General features: G+C 42.7%; 1 protein-coding gene across 2 annotated transcripts in view; it reads left to right on the top strand.

Moving 5' to 3' along the window:
- Nucleotides 1-15,164, top strand: part of SHISAL1 (shisa like 1) — an 88,050-nt gene extending 72,886 nt beyond the window's left edge. For both annotated transcript variants that reach the window (XM_005261790.4, NM_001099294.2), the window contains exon 5: nt 9,144-15,164. In XM_005261790.4, the coding sequence (XP_005261847.1) occupies nt 9,144 (1 nt within the window). In that variant the 3' untranslated portion in view covers nt 9,145-15,164. The remainder of the gene's footprint in view (nt 1-9,143) is intronic.
- The last annotated feature ends 8,902 nt before the right edge of the window (nt 15,165-24,066 follow it).

Raw genomic sequence — 24,066 nt, 5'->3', positions numbered from 1 at the left:
AATGCTGGGAACATGGAAGTGTTTTCACTTTTCATGTATAGTATTTCTTACCTTTGACCCAACATTATATGTGCAAGACCTCTGCATTTGCCATAGGGGCTCTTGCACCCTCACTTCTGAGAACTGTATGGAAGCCTATGTATACACCATGGACTACAACGCAGCCATAAAAAAGAACAAGATCATGTTCTTTGCAGGGACATGGATGGAGCTGGAGGCCATTATCCTTAGCAAACTAACACAGGAACAGAAAACCCAATACCACATGCTCTCACTTATAAGTGGGGGCTAAATGATGAGAACACATGGATACATAGAGGGGAACGATACACACTAGGGCCCACTGGAGGCCGGAAGGTGGGAGAAGGGAGAGGACCAGGAAAAATAACTAATGGGTACTAGGCTTCATGTCTAGGTGATGAAATAACCTGTACAACAAACCCCCATGACACACGTTTAGCTGTGTCACAAACCTGCACGTCCTGCATATTTACCCCTGAACTTAAAAGTTTGTTTGTTTTTGAGACAGAGTCTCGCTCTGCCACCCAGGCTGGAGTGCAGTGGTGCGATCTTGGCTCACTGCAATCTCTACCCCACTGGATTCGAGTGATTCTCCTGCCTCAGCCTCCCAAGTAGCTGGGACTACAGGTGCCCATCACCACACCTGGCTAATTTTTGTATTTATTTAGAGACGGAGTTTCATTCTTGTTGCCCAGGCTGGAGTGCAATGGCATGATCTCAGCTCACCGCAACCTCCGCCTCCTGGGTTCAAGCAATTCTCCTGCCTCAGCCTCCCGAGTAGCTGTGATTACAGGTGTGTGCCACCATGCCCAGCTTATTTTTGTATTTTTAGTAGAGATGGGATTTCACCATGTTGGTCAGGCTGGTTTCGAACTCCTGACCTGGTGATCCGCCCACCTCGGCCTCCCAAAGTGCTGGGATTACAGGCGTGAGCCACCGTGCCTGGCCTTAAAAGTTTTTTAAAAAGAAGCAGCTCACGCTAATGCAGTTCCCTAGGAAGGTGATGGGTTGCCCCTGAAGACCAGCTCCAGAGCTTCTTCGGGAAGTGCATGCAGAGAGAGGTTGCTGGATCGTCTGCTGAGCACGGTGGCGAGTCCCTTTCACAGGTGTTCACTTACCTTTCAAATCATCTGATCTAAGTTTGGCTGATTTGATGGCTTTAAAGTGACATCTCACTGTCTTACAAATTTTGTTATCTAGGTAATGAATAGATTTTATTTTTTTAAAGCAGTTTTAGGTTTACAGAAAAATTGAGTGGAAAGTACAGAAATTGCCCAGGGGAGGAAGGTGGAAATTCAAGACTAAAGTTCAGGGCAGAGGGCTCAATGTGTAAGTGGCATTAATGCCACAAATCATGAATTTCGAATCTCAATGACCAATGCCCAGGGAAGGAAAGCACGGTATGGGAGGTGGCTGAGGACAGCTGTCTGAGCCTGATTGGTCTCTGTGTGACTCTCCATTGTGTGGGAGCTGTTGTTTTTGACCTGGCATCCTGCTGATAGACACTTCAGTGATCCGAATCTTCTGCTGTTAACCACCTTTCTGTGATTAATGTGCTTGTACCTATGTTGCCCTTGTGAGCATGTCTGTAGGATAATCGTTACGTGAGACCACTGGGTCAGAGGATGTGGGCATCTGTACCATAGGCATGTGTCAAATTGCCTTCCACAGAAATGACCCCAGCATCTCCCCAACTAGCAGTGAAGCAGAAACCCAAACCAGCACACGCGTCGGGCGCTCAGCCTTTTTGATCTGTGTCAGGGTGGCAAGTGAAGGAATGCAGATGCTCCCTTTTGTCTGCGCTCTGAAATCCTCTCTCATTGTGGCTTTAATTTGCATTTCTCTTATTTTAGACTTTGGATTTGCTATTTGACAGTTTCTCTTTCTCTTCTTGGCAATTGGTCTGTTTAGATTCTACCTTCCCAGATCCTTTGGGTAATTTCTCTTTTCTTGGAAATTGATCCATTTCTTGGAGGCTTCCTGATTTCTGTAGAGTTGAGCAGGCAGTCGCTTTTGTTCTTCTGTTTGTTCAGTTCATCTTAATTGAGTGTAGACCCTGTGCCAGGCATCGTTATTGGCCCTGGGGATACAGTCATGGGCCAAAAGCAGCAACAAGCCTGCTTTTATGGAGACTGCAGACAATTTTTAAAATGTATATGTTAAATATGTGGACTGTCAGATGGTGATAATGCGTTTGAGATAGAGGATAATTTTAAACAGGTGGCCAAAGGGATCACTAAAAAGGTGACTTAAAGGAGATCAGGGATTCAGCCTTGGGTTTATCTGGGAGAAGAGACAGGAACATGCTGGTATGGATGGTGTATTAGTCAATGTGTTCCAGAGAAACAGAACCAGTCGCATATAGACACACATGAAGGCACACACTGTAGGGAGTTGGCTCCTGCAGCTATGCAGGTTGAGGAATTCCAAAGGTCTGGGTTAGCAAGCTGGAGACCCAGGGGAGCCAATGGTGTGAGTTCCAGTGTGAGTCGAGGGCCTGAGACCCAGGAGAGCCAATGGTGTGAGTTCCACTTTGAGTCGAGAGCCTGAGACCCAGGAGAGCTGATGGTGTGAGTCGAGGGCCTGAGACCCAGGAGAGCTGATGGTGTGAGTTCCAGTCCTGAGACCCAGGAGAGCCGATGGTGTGAGTTCCACTATGAGTCAAGGGCCTGAGACCCAGGAGAGCCAATGGTGTGAATTCGTCCCAGCCTGAGTCTAAAGGCAGGAGAAGAACAATGTCCCCACTTAAAGGCAGGCAGAGATAGCATGAATTCCCCCTTACTTGTTGGTTCTGTTTAGGCCTCCAGCGGGTTGGATGAAGCCACCTGCACAGGGGAGGACACAGTTTTCCTCCATCTGCTAGGTCACATGTTCATCTCATCATGAAACACCTTCATGACACACCCAGAAAAATGTCTCACCAAATATCAGGGCACCCTGTGGCCCAGTCAGGTTGATACAAAACAAACCATTACCATTGGAGTGGAGAGAATGAAAATGAAAAGAGTGAGGAATAGGACAGGGAGGTGATGGGGTGGGAAGGGCTTTAGCTTCTGCTCTGAGTGAATCTGGGAGCCACTGAGAGTTTTGAGGAAAGGGGTGATGTAATTGGACTTAGGTTTTCTCAGGGCTCCTCTGGCTGCTGTGTTGAGAGCAGATGGAAGGGGCTGACCAGCGCTGACCAGCGCAGACACCACTGCAAGAATCCTGCCAGCCTGGACCACAGTAGGAGCAGTGGAGGCAGCAGGGAAGTGTAAGGCTTATTGAGATTCTGAAGGAAGGTCCAACGGGATTTGCTCCTGAGTTGGATATGGGGTATGAAAGGAAGAAGAGGGGTCAAAGATGACTCCAGGCCTCTGAGGAGAGCAACTGGCAGGATGGAGTTGTATTTCCTGAGGTCAGGAAAATTGTGGGAAAAGCTAGGTGGAGGAGGAAGGTTGGGATTTTGGTTTGGGGTATATTAAGTTTGAGGTATCTATTAAATATCCATTTGGTGACATCGAGTAGACACGTTGGCCATCAGAATGGAGTTTAGGTGAGAGTTTGAGGGTCAAAAGTCATCAACATATCTCCAGCCTGGGCAACAGAGTGAAACTCCGACTCCATCTCAAAAAAAATATATATATATCAACATACAGTGTTTAGATTCTTGGAAGGAGAGATCCATGAGTGAGTAGAAATTGTGGAGAAGAGAAGGTCAGGAAGATGTGGGCAGACCAGCAAAGGGCTGGAGCAGGAGCGGTGGGAGGAGGAGGAGGATCAGGAGAGGGGACTGCAGTGTCCTGGAAGCAGGTGATCACTTGAGTCAGTGCTGCTGGGAGGATGAGTGAAAGGGGGACTGAGAATTGACCACTGGGTTTATTAACAGAGAGGTCTTTGGTGACCCTGACAAGGGCAAATTCTGCAGGGAAGTTGGAAGAAAAGCCTGTTGGGAAGGGGCTAAGTGATGGTGAGAAGTGAAACTGGAGAGCAAAAGTGCAGAGAATCATTCCAAGCTGTCACCTCCACCTTCTACATATTATATCTCCTGCTTCATTAGATTCCTCCCAAGCTGTCACCTCCACCTTCTACATATTATATCTCCTGCTTCATTAGATTCCTCAGCAGTGAACATGTCTCATTGTGTTTCAAAGAACAAGTAGTTGGGGCCAGTTATGGTGGCTAATGCCTGTAATTCCAGCATTTTGGGAGGCCAAGGCAGGAGGATTGCTTGAGGCCAGGAGATCAAGATCAGCCTGGGCAACACAGCAAGACCCCATCCCTGCAAAAATTTTTTTTAATTAGCTAGGTGTGGTGGTGCACACCTGTAGTCTTAGCTACACAGGAGGCTAGGGCAGGGGAATCACTTTAGCCCAGGAGTTTGAGGTTGCAGTGAACTATGATTGCACCATTGCACTCCAGCTAGAGTGACAGAGCAAGAGCCTGTCTCTAAAAAAAAATAATAATTTAAACATTAAAAAAAGAACATGGAGTTATTTATGAGTTCCTTTCTTTTGCTGTTAACTCCATTTCTGTTTTCATTTACTTATTGCTACTGTATGTCTTTCTTAGGTTTATTTTGTCTTTCTTTTCTAACTTTTTGAGTTGGGCAATTCATTCTTTCTCATTTATTAATAAGATCAGTGTTTTAAGGCTATGTATGTTCCTCTTAGCATTGGCTCGGCTGCATCCCACAGGTCCTTAAATATATATTTTGTTATTGTCTAGATATTCTGCAGTTTTTATTTTTTGCTCTAACTCAAGGTTATCTAAGTGTTTATAGACCTCTTGGTGGCAAAGTTTGGTTTGGTCTGTGGTTTCATTATTAGTATTTTCAAATTCTAGTATATTGTGATTAGAGAATGTTGTCTTATTTCTGTTTTTTGGAATTTACTTTCTTTGTGGCCTGATAGTCACTTTTGGTGTATGCACTTTCAAGAGCATTTGAATAGAATGAAGGTAGACTGTGTTTTACACACACACACACACACACACAGTTGTTAGATTATTTGGCTCCGTATATCCTTACTTTAGTTTTTGCCAACTGCATATGGAATGGATTGAGAAAGGTGAATTGAAATGCACTAGGCCGGGCATGGTGGCTCATGCCTGTAATCCCAGGCCTTTGGGAGGCCGAGGTGGGCAGATCACATGTGGTCAGGAGTTCAAGACCAGACTGGCCAACATGGTGAAATCTCATTTCTACCAAAAATACAAAAAAAAAAAAAAAAATTAGCCAGACATGGTGGTTGAGCACCTGTTATCCCAGCTACTCAGGAGGCTGAGGCAGGAGAAACGCTTGAACCCAAGAGATGGAGGTTGCAGTGAGCTGAGATCATACCATTGCACTCCAGCCTGGGCGACAGAGTGACACTGTCTCAAAAAAAAAAAAAAAAAAAAACATGCACTAATACTAGCATACTCTGCTTTTTCTCCCTAAATTTCCAGTCTTGCTCTATGAATATTGAGGCTATGCTATTTGGTACATGAACATTCATTACTGTTAGATCTTCATGGTGACTCTCATCCTTCACCCTCACACAGTGCCCTTCTTTTTTCTCATTCAGTATTTTTTGCCCTGACTTCAGCTTTTTCTGATATTAAGATTATGACCCCTGATTTATCTTCATTTGCATTTGTTTGTTATGCTTCTGTTCATCCTTTTTAAAAATTATGGTAAAATGCACATAACGTTTATCATTTTAACCATTTTTAAAGTATACAGTTCAGGGGTATTAAGTACTTCTCACTATAGTGCAACCATCACCATCATCCCTCTGTAGAACTTTGTAAAAATCATCTGCCCTTTTTTTTTATTTTTTTTATTTTTTTTAAGATGGAGTCTCACTCTGTCACCCAGGCTGGAGTGCAGTGGCGTGATCTCGGCTCACTGCAACCTCTGCCTCCCGGGGTTTGAGCGATTCTCTTGCCTCAGCCTCTTGAGTAGCTGGGACTGCAGGCACCCACCACCACGCCCGGATAATTTTTTTGTATTTTTAGTAGAGACGGGATTTCATCATGTTGGTCAGGCTGGTCTTGAACTCCTGACCTCGTGATCTACCTGCCTCAGCCTCCCAGAGTGCTGAGATTACAGGTGTGAGCCACCACGCCCGGCCCTGCCCATCCTTTTCTATGAAACCTTGCTGAATCATTCTACCTTCAGTGCCTTTGTTTGTGATCAGTCTTTTTTTTTTTTTTTTAAGCAAGTGTGTATGGCTCATTAACATTTACTGATATGGCAGATGCATTTGGTCTTAGTTCTGTCATCATTGTTTGATAGGCTTTCTGCTTTTATAGTTTTGTGGGGGTTGTCAATTTTTACCATATGGTCTCTGTTGTCTTTGTTTTATTTTCTGTGTGTATGTCTTCTAGATAATTTGGAAAGCTGCGTTTTTGATCCCATGGTTATCTTCATAATTATAACATGACATGATATCTTTAATCCTTTTATTTCTCTAGACAACATTTATTTTCTCCCTACTGTGAAAAGTATCAAAATTAGAATATTTCTACTTCCCCTCCTCTTGTCTCCCTGCTATCAAGTTATTTTAGTTGACTATATTTTTTGTTTACCTTGATGCCTCTAATTTTAAACTTCTAAGCAATTCTTTAGACCCCCAACTATACATGAATATGTCATAGTTTACTTATATCACCTCCCTGCTTCTCATCTCCACCCCTCCAACTTTTTATTATTTATGCCAGTTCTCTGTTTTGTTTCATTCTTCTCTGTGATGGTCATAATCTTTAGATTGGCTGCAATAGTCCTACAGTTACACAAATTCTACGCTCATTGCTGGCACTCTTGGCAGGGCTCCATTTATAATTTCTCTTCATTGCATTTGTTATGCTTCTGCTCATCCTTTTTATGAATTGTGGTAAAGTGCGCATAACATAACATTTACCATTTTAACCATTTTTAAGTATACGGTTCAGGGGCAATAAGTACCTTCTCACTGTAAGGCAACTGATATGGTTTGGCTGTGTCCCCACCCAAATCTCATCTTGAATTGTAACTCCCACAATTTCCATGTGGCATGGGAGGAACCTGGTGGGAGGTAATTGAATCATGGGGGCAGGTCTTTCCCATGCTGTTCTCATGGTGAATGAATCTCACCGAATCTGATGGCTTTACAAATGGGAATTTTCCTGCACAAGCTTGCTCGCTCTCTTTGCCTGCCACCATCCACATAAGATGTGACTTGCTCCTCCTTGCCTTTTGCCATGATTGTGAGGCCTCCCCAGACATGTGGAACTGTAAGTCCAATTAAACCTCTTTTGTAAGTTGCCCAGCCTTGGGTATGTCTATTAGCAGCGTGAAAATGGACTAATACAGCAGCCATCACTGCCATCCATCCACAGAACTTTTAAAAAATCATCTGCCCATCCTTTTATAGTAAACCTTTCTGAATCATTCTTGATTTGCCTAAGCGTATCCTTAATAATTTTTTTAAGAAGGGGTCATGGGAACTTTAATTCAAAAATCTGTTCAACATGTTTTTCTGTTGACTTTATTCTTGACAGATGGTTCATTGGGCTTTAAATTCTTGGTTTATTCATTCATTTGACAAATATTTATTAAGCCCCTACAGTATGCCAGTTACTGTTCTAGGCCCTGGCAATGCAGCGATGTGTAAAACACACAATCACCTTAACCCTCTTTTAGCTAACTTTCTATTTGGGGAAGACAAACAATAAACTATTCAAGTAAGTACAATAGGTGGTATGCTGGATGGAGGTGTGTGCTATGGAGAAAAACAAAGTGGGTGATGGAGAGTACCTGGACCTGGCTTAGTTCTATGAAGCAGAGGAGATGGCCCCACAGAATCTCTCACCCTTAGCCCCTGTACACATTCCCACTAATGCAAAGGGTGGAGAGTAGGTTCTGCCTCTTGGCGTATCACTCACTCTGGGGAGGTGGGCTTTGCTGGCTTGGTCGGAGCCACTCCCTTGACTTCTCCATTTAGTTGAAGATGGTTTATCATTTAAGAACACTCACCAGATGCAATTTACGCAAGTAAAAGAAATTCAACTGCAATGGTATGAAGGGGGTAGTTCAGGGCTGCCACCAGAACCAAGTTTCTGCCTGCTTTCTACTCCACCTGTGTTAGTGAGCGTCTTTCATTCTCATGCATGCAAGATAGTTCATTTCCCCCTGGATTCATGTCCCCTTCCCAATAGACTCCCACTTACACAGCGTTAGCCAGACTGGGTCATGTGACCACCCCTGCTTGCAAGGGAGTCGGGGAAGGTAAGTATTTGTGACTGGGCAATTGCTCTTATAATAGACACAGGGCAGTGGGGTTCATGCTGCTTTCCACAGATGGAGTCTGTATTTCTTTTCCTCATTGTCTTGTTTGCAACTTGACTCTGCCAATCAAAGCTATAAGTAAGTGCCCCGCAGATCTGTTTCCACACTGTAGATCTTGTTCCACTGGTCTCCTGGCTTTTCCCTATTCCAGGAGCACCTTGGTCTCTTCTTTATAGCTTTGTATGACATGGTCATATATTAGTGCCATTCCAAAATACATAATGGTTTTTGTCAATATGAATGGTATCTGTATCTGTGTTTAATATTTAGTTTGTTATGGCAATGGTGACCATATAATTTATCAGCCAAATCAGAATACTTTTGAGGATAAAAGGGGAACAACATTAAAAATTATGTCAGAACAAGTGTTAACTGAGACTGTCCCAAGCCATGACATATAATTACCCTAGTAATTGCTGAGGTCAGTGCACACTGTTGCATTTTATAAATTGATCTGATGTCTTATAGGTTGACTATTATACGTCTATGTCTGCACTCTCCATTCTACTAATTAACCTGTTGATTCTGTTAAATTTTCTATGTAAGTTATCCACAATTAACTGTAATTTTGGTTCTTCTATTCCAGTCCTATTCTATGCTTATTTTTCTTGTCTTATTGCATGGGCCAGAGCTCTAGTACTATATGGAGCTATAATGATAGCAGACATTTTTTTTCTTTCTTCCAGTCTTAAAGTCACATGGTTCGCAATGTTCAGAAGACAAAACCCACATGCTCAGAGAAAACCTGGCTTCTTCCGGCACTGAGGCCAGAGAGAAATGTCCCCATGGAGGAGACACCATGTGATACTTTTTTTCCTTGTATTTCCTCCAGAAAACGCTTTTGCTGTGCCTCAGGATGGGGGAGATGAGATCTGAAGCACCCGGTGCAGCCTCCGAGAAGAACAACTTCTACAGAGATGCCAGGGACAGCCGAGGTAGCGGCGGTGGCACAGGAGGAAATGCTGCCTGTGCCCAAAGCCCCCTTCCGCGGACTTCTAAGATTAGGAGCAAACTCAGGGGTAGGGGCTGGGGGTGCAGGGGAGGGGATTCTGAGCCACCTGTCCGCAAGCAATAGTCCTATTTTGGGCTGGTGGCTTCTGAGAGGTGACTCATTGTGGACTCAGGATGACCAAGACAAAGCAACTCTGGCTGATTCCAGCCAGGAGGATTGAGGCCTGTGAGTTATACCTGTGGTTGAAAACCGAAGCTTCCCTTGCCCCTGCTCCCTCCAGTAGTGGCCCCTTGGGGCTATTTGTGTCAGAATATTGAATGTGCGTGTGTGTGTGCGTGTGTGTGATTTGGGGTGTTCTTTTTGTTTGCTTGGTTGGTTGGTTTTTATTGGGGCTTCCCCCCTCAAGTTCTCTGATGGGCATGAGTCACCCTCCGGCTGGGGGTTCTCATCCGTGTCAATGTCCGAGCCGCAAGCTTATTGCTAAGCACAGGGTACGGCCCCTCTGTGTCTCGGGGAGCACTGGGGATTTGAAAATGCCAGTCAGGGTTGTTTCTTACAGAATTCGTTCCTGTAACAATAGTAATACTAAGGGCTGCATCTCAGGCTGACCACAGGGCAGGTGCCAAGTTAAGTGTTTTCATGCACTCCCTCTCTCACCACCTGGGAGGCAGGTATGATTAACCCCCTGCAGAAAAACTCACAGTGGGGAAGCGGTGCCGGAACCCAAAGTCCAGGCTCCAACTCCCTGGACGTGACATGCTCGCCAGCCGGGGTACACCCTGCACAATGCTGGGAGCATCTCCTTGATGCCTCCACCATCACCGCCTGGAGCGCTGATCCACTCAGCACATTCTGGCTAAGCATCTGCTGTGTGCCAGGCCCCGTGCTGGGCAGTGATGGGAATGAAAGATGAGTTAGATCTCATCTCTGCCCCCGGGGAGCCTCCCATCTGGTGGGAGACACAGACACGTGGATCTTTGCTGGAAAGGGTAACAAGGCCATGGAAACCCAGGCAGGAGCGTTCTAGAAATCCATCCACTTTCAAGTAGGACTTCCATGCCCGTAACATCCACCCACCGAGCTAATCACCCCCACTCCTGCCCCGCTGCCCTGGGACACCTATGAGATGGCATCACCTAAATCATCACAAACATCTCCAAAGGCCATGCTGCCAGTGTAGACACACTCATTCCATGGGTGTTAGTGATACCAAATCTCCCCCAGCTCTTAGCTCGGGAGGCCCTGCTTGATCAATGTGTGTGTCCTCTGACGCAGTTTCCTCATTTCATCAGACCTAGTGTTCTCACACTGACCACCCATCCATTCACCAGACACGACAGTGAGCAAGGCAGGTCCCTGCTCACTGTGCTAGCTTTCTAGCTGGGGCAGGAAGACAGTGAAGAAGGAAGGTGGCGAAGGCAGTGAGTGCTCTGCCGGGAACTCAGTGCCAGGAACTCAGTTCGAGGGACACGTGAGTGAGACCCTTGTGGACCTGGGGTGGTCTGGGAAGGCCGCCTTGAGCAGATGATTGAAGCCCAGATTTGAATGACACACAGGAGCCAGTAATGGGCGTTAAAGATAGGAAAAGAGCATTCCAGGCAGAAGGAACGGCTAGTGCAAAGATCCTGCGGCAGCCACAGGCTTGGTGGTTTCAAGGAAGCACAAGAAAGCCAGGTGGCACAAGAAAGCCAGGTGGCTGGGGACCCAGAGGGAAGGCAGAAGGAGATGAGGGTGATAGTGCCCAGCTCTGGGCTCTGCTGTGAGTCAAGCTGTGCAAACACAATGTCCTGCCTTTGGAAAAGCAGAACAAACTTGCTAGGGTATAAAGCATCCTCCATTCTGCCTGGCTGTCCATCCTCTCAACAGCCCCATGAAGAAGGGGCTCTCCCCATTTTATGGACAAGAAGACAGACTCAGCTGGGTCAAGTGGCTTGCCCAGGATCACACAGGTCAGCTGTGGAAGACCCAGGCCCCTGGCTTCAGTCTTTGGGTCCAGCTGTCTCCTCCAGGCAGTGCTGCCAGTGTCCAGGCATATGGCTTGGCAAAGTGGGAGAACCTCTGCTTGGGGTCTCGATTGGAGAAAGGAATGGCTTCCTCTCCCCTGATGTGAGCCGTCCCAGGGCCATGTTGCCGTAAGGGGGTGCACAGCCTGTCCACTAGCCCAGCTGCGGAAGCCACAGCTGTGTCCCACGTGCAGTGCCTCAGAAGGCAGAGGAAGCCTTGAGGTGGGGGCCCAAGACCCAGATTCTGACATCAGCTCTGCCACTGAGAACAGCGTGACCTCAGGCAAGGTCTGTTACCTCAGTTTCCCCATCGGTAAGAGGAAGGAGTCAGATGGGTATTTAAGGAGTTTGCAACCCTCGTGTCCTGCTGTCCTGGACAATGCTCTGTAGGTGCTTCCTCTGCCAAAAAGGAACTGGTGGCCTTGCCTCCCTCTCCTGGACACCTGGGGTCAAAGGTCACTGCCAAATAGACAGCTAGAACTGGGGTTCACCTAAGCATCCCTTGAGATGTACAACCTTCTAGGAGGACATTCCTCCTGCCTGCCCCCCTCCCCGCAAGAGGTCTTTTCAGGAATAACTGAAAAACCCATGGGGTTTGTGGTCCTGCTGCTCTGCCAAGTCCCTCTTGGGCAGCTGGGCTGAGGACTGGAACATTCTGTGGCAAGCAGGAGGCCTCAGCAGAGATCACCAAGACCCAGCACACCTGGTGCAGACAGCCACGGCATCCTCCTTCCTGCAGGTCACCCCCACGAGCCACTTAACCTCTCAGAGCCTCTGCTTCTCACCTGTCAAGTGTGTGAGGTAGGGTACCAGTTAGTCACGGTACTTGCTGTCTCACAGAGGAGCCGACAGGTGAGAACAGTGTGCATGTGGGTGTGAACACTCAGTGTGGAAAGCAGGTGTGTGTGTATTCAATCCCCCAATGGTGTCAAGGGCTCCTCAAAATGCCATGGGTCCCCAGGTCATTGTGATAAACACTGTCCCCATCCTGCTGTGGTTGTGGCTGGAAGGTCCCTCAAGGAGTAGACTGTCCCTGAGAACAAGATGGATGCAGGGTAGTGACGAGTTCAAGCATAGCTAGAGTTACTGTTTTTTAGCAACTCAACCTGATTTTTTAAGCTGCCTACTTTTACTTTTTACTGTGAGCTTCTGTCCATCACCATGTAATTTGTAATAATAATAATACAAAAAGAAAAACGAGAGAGAGAAGAGGACAAGATGTCCACAGAGGAATCTGCATTCGAGGCTGTTTGCAGAACTACCGCGTTTGTAAGGACTGTTTCCCACTGGGAACTGTGTGTAATTAATGAGCAGTTTTATGCTTTCCCTCTCGTCTGTGTACGGTGTGATTGTTGTGTGTTTCAGAATCTCTATTCAGAACCAATAGCTGGTAATGCCTGCTGGCTCGCTGCCCTCAAGTTAGCCTCTGAACGTGCCCTGCACCTAGAGAAGCAGCCTTCTCACCCGCCTCACCTGGCTGCTCCAGCGGCCAGGCCAGCCACCTGACCATGACCATTGCTGATGTGCAACAGGCCTTAATTGAAAAAACACACAAGTACATACATGCACATGCGCGCACACACACAGGTGATTTCACAGGTAGATCTGGTCCCTCTTGCTGTCTCCAATGCTCTAGAAAGCAGCAAGTAGGCAGCTGACAGTGTTCCCAGGGTGAGTGGCATCTCCCCTCATCATCAGAAAGATTCAGTCAAATTTTGGCCCAGAGCTGAAGAGGAGGACTTGGGAATGTCAGGGAAAACATGACAGGGCTAGGGGTTAACAGGCTTCTTTGGCCAGGAGATGGTTTCCAGTTCACCGTCAACCCAAAAGCTCTCTTCAGGTCATGGCAAACAGACCAGGGCTGTGGGTGTGGCTGTGCTTGGCACTGACTCCCCCACAGGCCGCTGTCCAGGTTGGCTCAGGATTCCAGCTGCCATCCCCAGGCAGGCCCCTCCGCTGGCTCGGCTGCTTTCACAATCACCATGTCTGTCTATTAGAGACTGTGCCATTCAAGGAGACGGGGTCCCCGGGGGTGCAGACTTGTAAAATTTTTTAATTTTTCAACTTGGCTGAACTGGTCCCCATCAACAGGAAAAGCCTTCGGAAGTGAATTTACAGATTTCTCCCATGTTTGAAATTAACATAACATGAACCCAGAAGGCAGAGCTTGCAGTGAGCTGAGATCGCACCAGTGCACTCCAGCCTGGGCAACAGAGTGAGACTCTGTCTAGGTAGGTAGGTAAGAAGGAAGGAAGGAAGAACAGACCTGGATGGAGTTATTGGGAACATGTCTTATCAATGTTGAAGGGCCCCCTATCACTGTAGGGAGACATCCACGTGGGTTGTTTTCGTCTGCTGTGAAAATCTAGGGTTGGAATCATGGAAGCAAACTGCAGGAATTCTTAATCATCCTGCTCACGTGGTGGGCATCAGAGGGTGTCTGCTTGGCCCCCACAGCACTGGGACAGTCAGAGAGGCCATGAGTGGATGACGCCCTGATCACTGCCCTTTGCAGTCCAGGAATACCTCACTGGGCTGGGGCCATACCCTGTGCCCTCTGGAAGACAAGCCTGCGCACTTACTATGTGCCAGATGCCATGCACAGTGCCCTAGTTCCTTGCTGTAGCACCAACACGTCCCACGCTGGTGCTTAAATGCACGCAAACAACTTTGGTGGTTGTGGCCCGAAAAGCTCAAATGTTAAAGTTAAGCAGTCAGGCAAGCTAGAAGAGGTGAGGAGCCTCCTAGAAAACTCATTCGATGACACGCGCTTCCCTCACCTATTCAGATACTTGCCGAGTGCCTGCCACTTGCCTGGCCCTGTACCCAGGGCCCATCTGGGAGCCATTCCTGCTATAGCTGGGACCACTTGTGAAACGGCTAGTTGTGCCTAACAGACATGCTCAGATTCACAAAATGAATTCAGAACACTTACCTGTCCCACCCGTGAAAGTGACCTTGGAGGTGTCATTGCCCCCCACCACCCCAGTTTCTAGTCCAAGCCAACAGCTGGTGCTAGATAGATGCTTGATGAATGAGCAGATTTGACTGTTAGTTACTCTGTACCTAAAACTCCTATCTTTACATCAAAGCCCTGACAGATTTGCCCTTGACAGACTGAAATCCGGGGCTGCTGCAGGGTTCACCTCCAGGAGGCACCATTCACGACACTGTCCCATAAATGGTAATGGGCTCCCAGGGATACTGTTTACATAGACTGCACTGAGAACGGTGACCCTTAGGTTTGTACAATGAGGTACCCTGTTGAATGACCCTAAACCAGCCTCCAAAATGTGCAGGATCCCACATTGGTCAGCGCCAACCCTGAGCACAGGATCTAAAACTATAGATGATATGGCCACCCTGGCCACAGCTGGAACCAAGCTGGTGGCCCAAGAGAGAGCCTCTTCTTGGAATTGCATGTCAGTTTCTCATACGCAGTTTCTTCCTATTTTTCCCATTTCCCGTTTTAAAGCTAGTGGCATACCTCACAGTCAAATAACCAAGTGGTCAGTGTCTCGACAATGTGCAGTAACGAGGTGGGGGCTGCAAGGGTGAGGGGCTCAGTCACCTTAACAAGGCAGGAGACCTCCCACAAAAGGCTGATGTGTCGTCCCCAGGGCCAGCTGGACAAGGGCATGCAGCGCAGGGGTAGGGGGATGGAAATATTTTCTCTCCCGTAAACTCTGACTTCATGTGAGCAGGCATGGGGTCTCCCTGAGAGCTGATAACCGGGAAAACCAAAACCAATAATATTCCTAATAATAATACTAGAATGTAAGAATAATCATGTGTTTTTCACTGACCGCTGTTGCTCTGCTTTTGTCTTTATATACAGTAGTTTTTATAACAATGTCCCTAGGTTTTAATAAAGGAGTGTCATGTCAACTGTTCCCTAGATTGACGTTTGCTTCAGTGTTTCAAAATGAGCTCAAGGGAACCTGTGCCCGCATAATTTGTCACTCTTTTGGGGCGGGTGGAGGACCAGGGGCTGGGGTCCCAGCCAACGTGGTGTTAGGGGGAGCTGGACACACGAGTCCATCCTGAACACTCAATGCCAATGGCAGGTGGACGCCACCTCCAAAGGGGCAGGGGCAAGGTCAGAGAGGAGTGACAGAGCCCTGAATCTGGCACTAGCACCCAACAAGACAGAGCTGAAAGCACGTGGAGGGTGGGGGGGGCGGGCATCACTGCAGATGGCATGCCATCCGTGGCCCCTGGTGTGACATGCCAGGTGCCTCTTGTTTGTCATCTCATTGGCGAGGGGACAGAGTAAGCTCCTTTAACGAGCACTGTGCTCCTGAAAAGCTACCATCCCTCACACTGGGACCGTGTGTCCTTCACGCTGGACACAGAGTCAATTCTGGCCCCACCTGCCAGCAGGAGGAGTGAGGATGCAGGAGAAGGGACAGGCTGCACCGTGGAGAAAAGCCGCACCAGGTCTTGCAACCCAGTCCCACTTCACCTGGGGCCCAGAGGCCCCCAACACCTGAAATCTGATGGTGGGGATACCAGACTGCTGGCACCCCCAGACAATGGATGGTGGCAAATGCTATTTTCCTCCAGAGAGGTCTCATCGTCCGATGCTTCAGAATATTTCTGCCAACAATGTATCAAATGTATCTTTCCTGGCACACAATCAGAGATCACCAGGTACACAAGGCAGCAATGTGAAGAAGCAAGGGAGGCACAAGGATTAGGAGACAGGCAGAGAGGCTACAAGCCCGGGAGCAGTCAGACACGTGTCTTCACACAGCCACACTTACTGTGCTCCAAATACATAAAATCACATCTGAAACCCATAAAAAAAAAAAAAAGATACAGGAAATTTTTTAAAGAGCCGATTAGAAACTGTAGAATTTTTTTTTAAAGTACATAATAACCCAAATTAAGGTCTCAGTAAATGAGTTTAAAAGCAGATTATATAAGACAACGTGGTATTGGCAAAAGAACAGACAGACCAATGAACAGAACAGACAGCTCAGAAATAGACCCACATAAAATAGTGACCTGATCTTTGACAAAGGAGCAAAAGCAATAGAATGGAGGAAAAAATAGTCTTTTCAAAAAATGGTGCTGGAACAACTGGACATTCACGTGGAAAAATACAAATCTGGACAGAGACTTTACACTCCACAAAATTAACTCAAAATGGATCATAGACCTAAGTGGAAAAAAAAAAAAACTGCAGAACTCCTAGAAGATAATATAGGAGAAAATCTAGATGACCTTGGTTTGGCAATGACTTTTTAGATGCAATACCAAAGACACGATCTATGAAAGAAAGAATTGATAAGTTGGACTTCATTAAAATTAAACATTTCTGTTCTGTGAAACACTACCAAGAGAATGAAGAGACAAGCCAAAGAACGGGAGAAAATATTTGCAAAAAGACACATCTGATAAAGGATCATTAGCCAAAATATACAAAGAATTCTTAAAACTCAACCATAAGAAAACAGAGCCAGGCACAGTGGCTTGCACCTGTCATTCCAGCCATTTGCGAGGCTGAGGCAGGAGGGTCACTTCATCCCAGAAGTTTAAGACCAGCCTGGTAGCTACAGTGAGACCCTGTCTCAAAAAAGAAAACAAGCTGGGCATGGTAGCTCATGCCTGTAATCCCAGTACTTTGGGAGGCTGAGGCGCGTGGATCACCTGAGGTCAGGAGTTCGAGACCAGTCTGACCAACATGGTGAAACCCCATCTCTACTGAAAATACGAAAAAAAAAAATTATATATATATATTAGCCAGGTGTGGTGGCACATGCCTGCAATCCCAGCTACTTGGGAGGCTGAGGCAGGAGAATCGCTTGAACCCAGGAGACAGAGGTTGTAGTAGGCCGAGAATGCGCCATTGCACTCCAGCCTGGGTGACACAGCTAGACTCTGTCTCAAAAAAAAAAAAAAAAAAAAAAAGGAAAAGAAAAGAAAACAAACAACATGATTACAAAATAAGCCAAAGACCTTAAGAGGCACCTCACCAAAGAAGATACACAGGCAGCAAATAAGCATCTGAAAAGACGCTCCACCTCATATGCCATCAGAAATGCAAATTAAAACAATGAGATACCATGACACACCTATTAGAATGGCCAAAATCCAGAACACCACCACCAACAAATGCTGATGAGAATGTGGAGAAACAGGAGCTCTCATTCACTGCTGTGGGAATGCAAAATGGTACCCGCTTTGGAAGACAGTTTGGCAGTTTCTTACAAAACAAAACATATTTTTACCATCCGACCCAGCATTCACACTTCTTTGTATTTACCCAAAGGAGTTGACAACTTATGTCCACACAAAACCTGCACATGGGTGTTTATAGCTTTATTCATAATTGCCGAAACTTGGAAGAAACCAAGATGTCCTTCAGTAGGTGGATAGATATAAACTGTGGTACATCCAGACAATACAAGATTATTCAATGCTAAAAAGAAATGAGGTATCAAGCCATGAAAAGACATGGAGGAAACACAGATGCATATTACTAAGTGAAAGAAGCCAATCTGAAATTGTGATTTTCCTACAAGGAAATTCCTTGTGGACAAAGGACAGACAGAACTCAAAATCCTCCTTCTGCTCACGTGAGACAAATGCATGTCTGATCTGCTTCCTCTGACCTACTGTTTCACTAAGCCAAACTAAGGTAGAAGTGGCTATTCCTCTACACCACCCCACATGTAGATTGTGTTTTTGGTGAAAGGCTGGCTGATCAGAGACTCAAAAGAATGCAAACATTTGTCTCTTACCTACCTATGACCCAGAAGTCCCTTCCCCCACTTTGAGTTGTCCCACCTTTCCGGACCGAACCAATGTACACCTTACACATATTGATTATAATGTCTCATGTCTCCCTAAAATGTATAAAACCAAGCCGTGCCCCAACCACCCTGGACACGTGTCGTGAGGATCTCCTGAAGCTGTGTCATGGGTGTGTCCTTAATCTTGGCAAAATAATCTTTCTAAATTGATTGAGATCTGTCTCAGAGACTTTTGGGTTCACACTTGTATCCTGAAAACTACAAAACACTGCTTAAAAAAAGAAAAAAATAAATAAATAAGTAAATGAATTATTTTTATACAAAGAGAAAGCACTGCTGAAGGAAATCAAAGGAAATCTAAATAAATGAAGAGATGTGACATATTCATAGACTGAAATACTCAACAAAGTAAAGACGTCAATTCTCCCCAAATCAGATTGATGTCAATTATCTCCAATTCCTGCCAAAATCCCAGGAAGATTTTTTGAAGACAGACAAAATTATTCTAAAATTTATACAGAAAAGCAAAGGACAAGAATAGCTTAAGATAATTTTGAAACAGAATAAAGTGGGAGAAATGGGAGTAATCACTCAACCTAATTTTACTACTTATATAGCTATAGCAATCAAGACTACGTGGTTTTGTTAGAAGGACAGACACACAGATGAATGGAACAGAATAGAGAACTTAAATAGACCCACACATATTTGCCAAATTGGTTTTTGGCTAAGGTGCAAAAGCAGTTTGATAAGGGAAAGATAGGCTTTCCAACAAATGGTGCTGGAGCAATTGGACATTCATATGAAAAAGATAAAATAGACCCTTGAGATAAGTACCTAAGTCTTATATACAAAGTAAAAATAATATTAAGGTAGAATATAAATTTAAATGTTAAATGTAAAACTATAAAATTTGGGGAAAATATTCTTTAAAATAAAAATTGACTAATTGGGCTTAATCACAATTAAAATGTTTTGCTCTGTGAGAGACCCTGTTAAAGGGAGGAACAGACAAGCTACAGACAGTAAAAAAAAAAAATTCAAACCACATATCCAACAAAGGACTAGTAGCTAGACACAAGAAAACACTCAAAAGTAAATAGTAAAAGACAAAAACAAAGTAGACACAAAGAGACATTTTACTAAAGAGGATATACAAAGGGCAAATAATTCTGATGAAGTCCAATTTATCTATTTTTTTATATTGTTGCTTGTGCCTTTGGTTTCATATCTAAGAAACCACTGCCTAATCCAAAGTCATCAAGAATTACCCATATGTTCTCTTCTAAGAACGTCATAGTTTTAGCTCTTACATTTAGGTCTTTGATCCACTTTGAGTTAATTTTGTATATGGTGAGGTAGAGGTCCAACTTCATTCTTTTTCATGTGGATATCTAATTGTCTCAGTACAATTTGTAATTGTTCTGGCACCACTATCAAAAACCAACTGACCATAAATGTGAGGGGTTTTTTTTTTTTGTACTTTAAATTCTGTTCCTTTAATATGTCTATTCTTATGCCAGTACCATTCTCTTTATTAGCATAGCTTTGTCGTAAGTTTTAAAACTGGGAAGTGTGAGTCTTCAAATTTTGTTCTTCTTTTTCAAGACTATTTTGGCTAATATGGGTCTCTTGCATTTCCATATGAATGTTAGGATCAGCTTGTCAATTTTTGCAAATAAGGTAGCTAGGATTTCCGGAAGGACTTTGTTGAATGTATAGATCAATTTGGTGAGTATTGTCACATTAACAATATTAAGTGTTCCAATCCATGAACATAGGATGTCTTTTTATTTATTTAGACCTTTTAAAATTTCTTTCAAGAATGTTTTACAGTTTTCAGGATATAAGTTTTATACTGTTTTGTTAAATAGAGACAGCAAATAAGTACATGAAACAATATTTAACATAATTAATCATTAGGCAGATGCCTATTAAAACCACAATGTAATATCACTACACACCTATCAGAATAGCAAAAATAAAAAACCTTACTGGTGGGGCTGTAAAATGTTACAGCTACTCTGGAAAACAGTTTGGTAGTTTCTTTAGAAACTGAACACGTGGCTGTGTGAGGCAGCTTACGCCTGTAATCCCAGCACTTTGGGAGGCCAAGGCAGCTGGATCATGAGGTCGGGAGTTCGAGACCAGACTGGTCAAGATGGTGAAACCCCATCTCTACTAAAAATACAAAAATTAGCCAGGCGTAGTGGTGGGCGCCTGTAAGCCCAGCTACTTGGGAGGCTGAGGCAGGAGAATTGCTTGAACCTGGGAGGTGGAGGTTGCAGTGAGCCGAGATCATGCCACTACACTCCAGCCTGGGCGACAGAGCAAGATTCCATCTCAAAAAAAATATAGAAAGAAAAAAAAAGAAAACTGAACATGCAACTACCATCTAACCCAACAACAGTACTCCTGCACATTTATTCCATTTAAATTAAAACTAATATTCATACAAAAACCTGTAAATCACTGTTTATAGCAACTTTGTTTATGACAGAGATAAAATGATGAAAAACACATGTGGGAAAAATCCACATGTACGTCAGCTGGAGAATGGATAAACAAATTGTAGTACATTCATAACATGGAATACAATGCAACAATAAAAAGTAACTATTGATACATGCAAAAATCTGGATGAAGCTCCAGATATTATGCTTAATGAAAAAGCCAACCACCACAAGTTACATATTGTATTTATATAATACTCTTAAAATGATGCAATTATAAAAATGGATACCATATTAATATTAATGATTGTCAGGGATTAAGGAGGGGGTGGGGCAGGAGGAAAGTGGGTGTGGCTATCAAAGAGCCACAGGAGGGATCCTTGTGATGGAAATGCTCTGTATCTTCAGTGTGTTGATGTCAGTATCCTAGTTGTAATATTGTAATGTAGTTTTGCAAGATGCTGCAACTGAGGGAAACCAGGTAAAAGAATGTCTCTGTACTACTTCTTACAACTGCACGTGCATATGCAATTATCTCAGAATAAAAAGGTTTAATTTTAAAAATCAGATTAGACACAACTTAATTAATCAACCTGAAGATATGTCACAAGAAAACATCCAGAATGAAGATCAGGGGATAAAAGGATGAAAAACACAGAAAAGTACTTAGCAGTCATATATATACACATATATATATGTATATATATGTATATGATATATATACTGAAAGGAGATATATAACTGAGATATAATTGTTCCAGTAGGCAAGGTGAAAGGGATTGGAGGAGAAATACTATTTGAAGAGATAAAAGGCTAAGAATTTTCTGCAACTACTGAAAGACATCAAGCCACAAGTTCAAGAAGCTCTACTAAACTGAAGTAGAAGACAAAGAGAAAACCTTAAAAGCAGTCAGAAAAGGGGTGGGGGTGGGAGTGGAGATTAACTTCCAAGAAGCACAATTAGACTTGCAAACTACAATAAAAGTACTGGAAACTAAAGGACAATATAATATTATTTTATACTATTATATCAAACAGCATATATGTTAAAAGAAAGTGCCAAACTAGAATTCTAAACCTAGCAAAAATATCTTTCAAGAGTGAAGATAAAATAAGACTTCTTAGAAAAGATTAAAATTTTTAAAATATATAACTAATAACTAATAGACCCTAACTTTAAAAAACATACCAAAGTGTATTCTTTAGGCAGTAAAACAAATGATCCCAGGCAGAGGTTGATGACACAGAAAGGAATAAAGAGCAACAGGAAGGATATATCTGGGGCAAATCTAAATAAAGAATGGCTGATTTGATGGTTGTAAAAATGTCTCGTGAGTTTTAAAATATACAGACATAAAATACACAACAACTGCAAAGAACACAGAAGGGGTATAAGTTAAAGTACTGTTAGGTCCTCGGATTGTCCAGGAATACCAAACAATATTTACAATATTATGTTAAGGATGCATTTTGTAATCTCCAGGGTAACCGTTGCAATAACAGTAAAAGAAAATATAACTTCCAAGCTAATATAAAGGAAAACATGGAATGACAAAATGCACTTATCCAAAAGAAGAAAATAACAATTGAGAAGAAAGAATATAAAACAGGTGAGACCAAAAAAAAAATCACATAATTAAAATATTTAAAACCAAATATTTTAGTAATTACATCAAATATAGGGGAATGAAATGCACCATTTAAAACACAAACACTATCAGATTGGATTTTTAAAAAAACCAAAAAACACCAACTATATGTTATTTATAAAAGACATTTACAACATTAGGTCACAGAAAGTAAGTGCAAGTAAAAGGATGGGAAAAGATATACTGTGCAAGCACCAACTCAAACAAACAATAAACAGAAAAACTGGTGTATCTGTAATAATATTAGATAAAGTATACTTAAAGATGAGAAGTATTACAAAGATATAGGATAACATTTCATAATGATAAAAGCCAATTCTACAAGAAAATATAACTATCTTAAATTGGTAGGCACCTGCTGACACATAACCTCAAAATACATGTACCAAAACTGATAGAACTATAAGAAGTAGACAAAATCACAATTATACTGGGAAATTTTAGCATACTTCTCTCTATAACAGGTCAAACAATCAGATGAAAGACAAGTAAGAATATGAAGAACTGAATGTGATTAAGAAATCTACCTAATGGAGATATCTAGAACAATGCATTCGACACATGCCAATACACATTTTCCTCATGCAGACACAGAACTTTTACAAAAAGTTACCTTATACTGTATAATTAAGCAAGTATCAGTGAACTTCAGAGGACATTATTTGACCACAATGCCATTAAGATAGAATTCTATAAAATAGATATATATAGGAATTTTCTACTATATTTCTCACAGTTCTGAAGGCTGGGAAGTCCAAGATCAAGGCACTGGCAGATGTGGGGTCTGGGGAAGACTCACTCTCTGCCTCCAATATAGCGCCTTGTTGCTGTGTTCTCTGGGGATGAATGCTGTTTTCCAAACATATGGGGATATTCTAGCATACACACACAAACACACACACACACACACACACACACACACACACACACGAAAATATATATATCTAGCTAGTGTGTGTATATATATATGTGTGTGTGTAAAAATTAGAAAATTCCTATAGTTCCATATATAGTCCATATCTATACTAGAAAAACTATATTATATATAAAATATCTATTCTATCTATTATATATAATCCACATATATATAATAGATATTATATATATTATATATTATATATAAATTATATATAATATATTATATATATTATATATATAATTATTATATATTATATATATAATTATTATATATTATATATAATAGGTATTATATACATTATATATAATTATATATATAATATATATAATTGACATATATAATATATAATAGATATTATATATTATATAATACATATTATATATTATATATAATTTTTATATATAATTATATATAAAATATATATAATTTTGTATATAATTATATATAAAATATAATTTTTGTATATAATTATATATAAAATATATATAATTTTTGTGTATAATTATATATAAAATATATATAATTTATATATATAAATTATTTTATATTATATATATTTATATATATATACTAAACCCCCATCTCTACTAAAAATACAAAAAAATAGCTGAGCATAGTGGTGCACACCTGTAATCTCAGCTTCTCAGGAGGCTGAGGCTGAGGCACGAGAATCACTTGAACCTGGGAGGCGAAGGTTGCAGTGAGCCAAGGTTGTGCCATTGCACTCCAGCCTAAGTGACAGAACAAGACTCTGTCTCAAAAAAAAAAAAAAGAAAAAGAAATTTTATATATATGTATATAAAAATATAAAAATTTCCATATGTTTGGAAAACAAGAAATATAAATAGGCTAATATCAAAGAATAAACCATAATGAAAATTAGAATACATTTGAGTATAAGGGAATTGTTCCATATTTAAATTTATGTGATTCAGATAAATAAGTGCTTAAAAGAAAATTCAAGCTTAAGAGCATATCTTGGTGAAGAAATCAAAGAACATCTAAATTAATGAAGAGA

The sequence above is a fragment of the Homo sapiens genome, chromosome 22, assembly GCF_000001405.40.
Source record: "Homo sapiens chromosome 22, GRCh38.p14 Primary Assembly".
Lineage (NCBI taxonomy): Eukaryota > Metazoa > Chordata > Mammalia > Primates > Hominidae > Homo > Homo sapiens.
Note: the sequence above shows the minus strand (reverse complement) of the source record. Positions and strands in the feature narration are given on the sequence as shown.